This window comes from Homo sapiens, chromosome 1, assembly GCF_000001405.40.
Source record: "Homo sapiens chromosome 1, GRCh38.p14 Primary Assembly".
In the NCBI taxonomy this organism is placed as follows: Eukaryota; Metazoa; Chordata; class Mammalia; order Primates; family Hominidae; genus Homo; species Homo sapiens.
The window spans coordinates 207,078,473-207,085,162 of NC_000001.11; the positions used below are offsets into that span (position 1 = coordinate 207,078,473).

Below are 6,690 nucleotides of genomic sequence, written 5' to 3' on the forward strand. Positions count from 1 at the left end.
AAATGTTAGATGCCAGTTAATGGGAAGAAGTTGATCTGCTCTGATGACTGGTTTCAGAATGGACTCGTATAACTAAAATAGTAGGGACCCTCCTCAGAAGCCAAGTAGCCCCTGACTACAGTGTCACTTTATTGGCATGGTCTTTTGGCTGACATAGCCTACACGATTTCCTTCTACCAGAGGGATCCTGACTGCTCCTGCTTCATATCTTGGGTATGTAGCTTATGGTCCAGGTCTGAAAGGAGTGCCTGGTCCAATATGGTCACGAGGTCAGCTCCTCAGGGAAAGAAGACCATGACTACGCCATTCGGGTAGTCAAGGTGTGTGTGTAGGCACACCAGTGTGTTCATGCATGTGTATGGATGTGGGGATGGGGAGGTTGAGGGAGGAGGGAAGGTAGGGGAAGGATTCTGTTCTACTTTTATGTTCGCTGCTTGGCAGTGCTGTAATAGCTTTGTGTCTCTTCCTCTCTGGCTCGTAGGCAGCAGAGACCACACTGGCTGTGCGCAGACGCCCCTCCGCAGCGTCCCTCATGTTGCCTTGCTAATGATGTGGATGTTCAGGCCTCACCTCTCCAAACGACTGGGATCTACTGAAAAGCTTGGGATGTCAGCTTCACAGAGGCTAGAACAGGAAGTTAAGTGGGAACTGGACTTTGGGGGCCACCAAAACGAGGCCTGGAGAAACGTCACCATATTTCCTCCCCTCCTGCCTAATGGGAATATCAGTTACACTGAAAAATTTAACTTCCCTGTGCCTCAAAACATTTAGCAACCTGAACCAGTGACTTTTTGTCATCTCTGTGCTGAGTTTGGTCCAAGTTGGTCAATCTCATTCTGTATAGGCATTTAACATCCTACCTGTGACTGTCTGCATCCTTTGCTGGCTCTTTTTTGCCCAAAGTGCAAATGCACTTCTTCAGATTTACTTTTCAAGTGAGAAGGTAAGAGCTGGTCTCTGCCACTGTTCCAGGCGAGCAGGCTAGAGTCTAATATACTTATGCTAGCAGTTACCATTTGCCACATTGGAAGCAAGAGACAAATCACCAGGTGAATGGAGGGTCTTCTGAGAAATTCAGTCCCTAAAACATCTTCTCTGCCTTGATAGAAGAACAGTGTCAGTGGCAACCTTTTCATTTAGAGAAGTTTTTCTTGTTCCAGGCCCTTCAGGACAGGATCTGACTGCAAGACTCCCCAAAATGGGTACCCATCTTCTAAGTTCCCTTTTGTAGCTACTGTACTTTTGACTTGATGCATGTGCCTCTCATGCATCAAGATGGGGCTGATGTGGTTCTCCTGGGTGGTTGGGAATGTGGACTAGACAGAAAAGTAGAGTGCCATTTATATCACGTGAGTAAGTCAAGAAAGCTCCTTGAGAATCAGCCCGATCAGGGAGTGTTTTGGCTTCAGAACAGGTGGAAGGAGACACGCCCCTCTGTGGGCTCTGTCACCATGATACAGTCCTTGAGAGAGCTGTGGCTGTGACTTGGAGGGCAGTAGTCTCCTGATACCTGCCTCTTGGCCACTGGTCACTATTGTGGTCACTGATCTCTCATATAAAAGTGAGGGTGGCGGGGTCATGGACCAGCGCCTCAGTGCATTAGTCATTCGCTTTTCCTTACAGACAAATCAGATAACTCTTCCCCAGTGATTGTCAAATGTATGAATGTATCTCTGTAAATGTGGTTTTGACATGTCACTGTTACTGAAGGAGAGTATGGAATCCCCACAGGATATTATATCTTGCAAGGAAAGTCTATTTTTTAAAGAATAGTATGTTTTTAGCTTTACTTTTCTTTCTTTTCCTTTTCACTCAAATGCTCACTTGCTGGGCAAAAGGGTGAGTAGCAAGAAAAGTAATGATATGTAGCTTTTCTCAAATGGTTCTTTTATACTGTGGATGATACAGGACTCTGTTACCTAAGATGTGATAAGCTGGGCTGCAGGCGGTTCAGCATCCAGCAACTAGGAGCTGCTTTTCTACGTACAAAGCTGCCTTCAGGAAGGCTCCTTACCCTGTAGCAGATGATTTTCATCTGGCTGCCTACCGCATGCTGTACTATAATGATTTAGTTGTGATATGGATTTCTCTCTGCATCGAAAACTGTCTTTTGATGATCAGACAATGTTTATATTTAGTTATTTATTCTATCCATGTAAGGCATTTTTGAGTTTTCTTGTCACTGTTTGCATGTATTTAATCAGAATGTAATATAATTTATGTTGTCAGGTTTTTTTTTGTTTGTTTGTTTGGGGTTTTTTTTGTAGAAATTTAGGTAGTTAGAGCTTTTAAGTCTAATGTCATATTAACTTAAGTTAAATTTCCAGAACGTAGATATCTGTCTTCTGTAAAAGGAAAATAACGATGTTAAGGGACAGTGAATTTTTTTTGAATACTTTGTTTCTCATTGATTTTTATTGTAAGTGTAAACCAAGAGATGCATTTCTCTGGAGAAGTGTTTATCTCCTGGATTAATAAAATCATGCTAAAATATGCGAGTAATATGTATTGCTTTTGTAATAAGAACATAAAATAAAATTATTTTTAATTAAAAATGCAATTAATTTTTAAGATAACACACGAAAAGATAACATTTGGTACATTATATGTATGCAAAATATTAATAACATTGTCTAAAATGTGTTTGAAACTAGCTTCTTTAAGATGATTTTCAAATTATTAGATTATATGTATATTTCCAACTAGTGATTTTAACCAGTTCAAGTTTCATCAGCATTTCAAAATGATATCAGTAAGATTGTGACTACCATGCATTACTGACGTCCTAGAGTTTCATTTATTTATTTAACAAATATTTAGTGACTACCCATTAGTTGCCAGGCAATGACTAAAACAAAGTCCCTGACCTTTGTTTAGAGTTTATTATTGGAAAGGAAAGGTTAACAGCAGGTTTGTAACCTAACGCATCTCTTTCTACTGGGGATGCTTTCCCCCTCATGAATGACCTTCACCAAATAATGTTGGATAATGGTTACATAATGTATATGATAAAGTAACTTGGAACAATCTTTTGGGGTCAGCAGCAATAGAGATAAAATGAAACATTCATAATAACAACAGAGGATTTCCAAATTCTTTAAGTTCAAGGGTTCTTCTGATAGAATGAAAATGACTTATGAATTCTCCAATTTGAAAACAGGTGAGAGACAGTGGTTATGTGTACTGATGAATACATTGAGCTTTAATAATCTAGCTGGTGGGCTGACAGTAATGAGGATGTGGTGTCAAGGTTTAATTTCCTTGGAAATATCTCCAGGCACTTCTGCAAGTGTTCTCTAATTCAGCCATCAAGTCATCATTTGTAAAAGGCTGGGGTGTCTGGAATCATTCTCTGGGTTTTACAGAGAGGTAAATGAGCACCATTACTGAGTCACACACCTCAACACTCGTGATTTTTATAAAGCCAATAATATCTCAGAACAAGGTAAATGTTAAGACCCAACAGACACATGCCACACTGTTTTAAAATGTTGCTGGTAACTTAGCAAAGATACCAGCATTAGAAAATGATTACTCAGCGAGTACTTCAGTGTTGGGTGATGGTCATTATTTGCCTTTCTCCTGTAGGTTTCATCATTACACCATTTCTTAAACTTCTCCAGGGTCTTCACTTAGGACTCACTGTGAGGAGCATCAACCTTCAGGTTCACTAGCTTGCCCTGGCTATTTATTTTTCATTTTTGTAGAAATAGGGTCTCACTATGTTGCCCAAGCTGGTTTTGAACTCGGCAGGAGGTGATGAGCCCATGGGCACTTCCTGTGGCGTCTGACAATGGCCCATCACCAAGGTTTATGGTCTCTAGAAGTATTTTGCACCATCCAACCTTCATTCATTCTCTTGAACTCATTTGAGAATTTGACATGCTAAGGACTCTCTACCCAGAAAAAGGTTGACACATAGGTTTTGCATACAGTTTAGGGAGGTCATGACCTGAAACCCATTCTTGGACCTCAGGGTAGGAAACAGGAGCTACGTAATACTGTCCATACTCTCTTGTCCATTTCTCTCCTTTAACATGTAAAAGAAAAAATAATCCAGTGACATGCATTTGATACTATTTAAGCGGAGGAGGGGAATATATGATGTACTGGAATTTTTTTACTGCACACTGGGATATTTAAGAACGTGGTTTTTAATGAGATAGCATCACTGTAATCATGGAGAGTAATATTTTCTTTCTCTTAAAAACATCAAAGCACAGTCTTTCTTCTTTTATTCTCATCAAGCCAATGTCAGCTGCATTCCTTCAGCCCTTTACAAGCAGAACAACTACGCTTCTGAATTCCCAAAGGCATTTAAATGCCTTTTTGATTGTATGCAACACTCTACCTGTGAAAATCAGATTAGATTCTATAGGAGAGTTTCCCTGCAATTAAGCAAAATAATTTCAGAAGCATAGGAACGCTTGGGAAGCAGCACTGTAGCATGGGGTCTACTCTCAACATGTTTAATGCCCTTCACCAAACATCCAGCCTACTTTCAGAGAATAACTTGTTTATCCATTTGGGTTTCCTTCATCACTGATATGTTTGCCTCTTCATTGCCATTCAGTTTTCACTTCCTAGGTTCTCTCCTCTTTCCCCCATTGTCTTTGTAGAATTTATGGATGGGAAGGGAAACTGTGTCAGAGTATGCTTTAATAAAGTCTGTTAAATATTCTTTTCTGAATTTAAATTCCTGAGTCATTTCACTCAAACTCTGTTTCAGATTAGAGTTGGTTTCAGCTGTGGATTTCAGTAAATCTAAAATAACAACTCCAAGGTCACATTGGTTCAGGCTGGTAATCTCAGCTCTTTGGGAGGCTGAAGCGGGAGGATTGCCTGAGGCTAGGAGTTCAAAACCAGCTTGGGCAATATAGTGAGACCCCCCCCCCACCCATCTCTACAAAAATAAAAAATAAATCAGACAGGAATGGTGGTGCACACTTGTAGTCCTACCTACTCGGGAGGCTGAAGTGGGAGAATTGATTGAGCCTGGGAGTTTGATGCTGCAGTGAGCTATGATCATGCTACTGAACTCCAGCCTGGATGACAGAGTGAGACTCGCTCTCTCTCTCTTTCTCTGTCTCTCTCGCTCAAAAAGAACAATGTGTTGGATTCTACTTCATAGAGGAAGGTGGCTACTCCAGTTGCAGAAAACATGTTTACACTCTGGCCAGCAGGAAGGAAGAAGGCAACAGGACATACCAGCTTCTTTTAAGGATATTTCCCTTCTCATGTAACCCATAAATATATACACCTACTGTAAAGTTAAAAATTAAAAAAAGAATATTTCCTAGATTTTGCAAGCACACTTATGCTTATACCTCATTGGTCAAAATGTAGTCAAGTGGCTACATACAGCTTTCATGCAGGCTGGAATATTTTTATTCCAAGTGGCTTTGTGCCAGTTATAATTAGGGTTTAGTTACCAAAGAAGGGTTCAATAGCTATTGAAGAAGTAGCAACCTGCCTTAGTAGGTAATTGAAACATTGTAGCAGGTCTGAAGAGCTATAACAAGGTGAGCAGTAGCCTTTGAGGAGTTAGGCTGCCATTGCTTTGTAAGAGAGGAAAAAATTATTTTTCCTTCTACCCTCCTAGGTTCTCTGCCTGGGACTTTGTAAATTAGACTAACAAAACAGATTGACAAAAGAAACCCAAACAATTTATTAATGTGTGAAGCACACCCCACCTGGGAGGAACCTCATGATGAGTAACTCAAAGGGGAGTTAGAGCTTAGATTTATATAGCATCTTAACAAAAGAGCAATAACTTTGTAGAGAAGTGACAAGACAAAGGAAAAAACGTTAAGTTTCTAGGGCTGCAAATTTTGAGAAGGCAAATACCTGAAAGAAACTAATGGAGAAGGTTTGTGTAGGTCTGTCTTGACACTGACTTCTTTGTGGACATAAATCTCCCTCCGGAGAAAGGACTTACAGCAGTCCTCATTCCTCAGAAGTTTCTGCTTAGAGTCATCTAAGAGATACTCCAGGAAGGCTTCTTTCTGCTTCCATTGCATCTCATTTGCCTGCAGTTCAAAATAATCTTTATGCCAAAGAGGCATATTTTAAGGTGACTTATTCTTGTCCCCTAAAACTTAGAGTAACAATGCATCAACTCTGATCTTGCCACAGTGCAGGTCCATCTAAACTCATAATTAAAGCTTATTCTACAGTGTTTCATGCACAATTTGATTTTTACAAATTCTTTTTAAAATTTACATTCCCATGGAATCTGCCTAAGGCTACTTTTTGCAAAGCTTATAGCTTGCAGTGAACGCCAAGAATGAGTTCTCAGAAAATTCCAGCTGAGCGGGGGAGGGAGCAGCTCTTCTGAGGAGAGTCCGCCCCAATATCTGCCCACCATGTATTCATTGAAAGGGCTTGTTACACCACAAACATCCACCAGATGGCTTTTTGAGGTCGGGTTGTGAGACACCTGTGGCCTTGTCAAAGCACTCAAACCGCATTCTCAGGAGGCTGTTTTCAGCGTTCCTTATCACACACTCCACTCCTTGTCCTGTTTTCAGGGTCAAGGAATTATATTCTCATGCACAAATAACATACACACAGTGCCTCAGCATTTTTCCATGCCCCAACCTCAAATGCCTTGTACATAAGTTTGAGTATGTGGCTGTGCGCCCCCCACACTTTTCTGGCCCAGGTTGTTTTGGTCAGGCATTGGGGAAA

The 6,690-nt window shown here is 40.6% G+C and overlaps 1 protein-coding gene across 3 annotated transcripts in view, besides 1 other annotated feature; it reads left to right on the forward strand.

Moving 5' to 3' along the window:
• Positions 1 to 2,555, forward strand: part of PFKFB2 (6-phosphofructo-2-kinase/fructose-2,6-biphosphatase 2) — a 46,612-nt gene extending 44,057 nt beyond the window's left edge. For all 3 annotated transcript variants that reach the window (XM_024447657.2, XM_047422549.1, NM_001018053.2), the window contains exon 15: positions 482 to 2,555. In XM_024447657.2, the coding sequence (XP_024303425.1) occupies positions 482 to 547 (66 nt within the window). In that variant the 3' untranslated portion in view covers positions 548 to 2,555. The remainder of the gene's footprint in view (positions 1 to 481) is intronic.
• Positions 6,481 to 6,690: an enhancer, noted in NCBI's record as "active region_2439". NCBI's record gives its function as "activates an Ori minimal core promoter by ATAC-STARR-seq in GM12878 lymphoblastoid cells {active_cell/tissue: GM12878}" and the evidence as "EXISTENCE:reporter gene assay evidence [ECO:0000049][PMID:35858748]".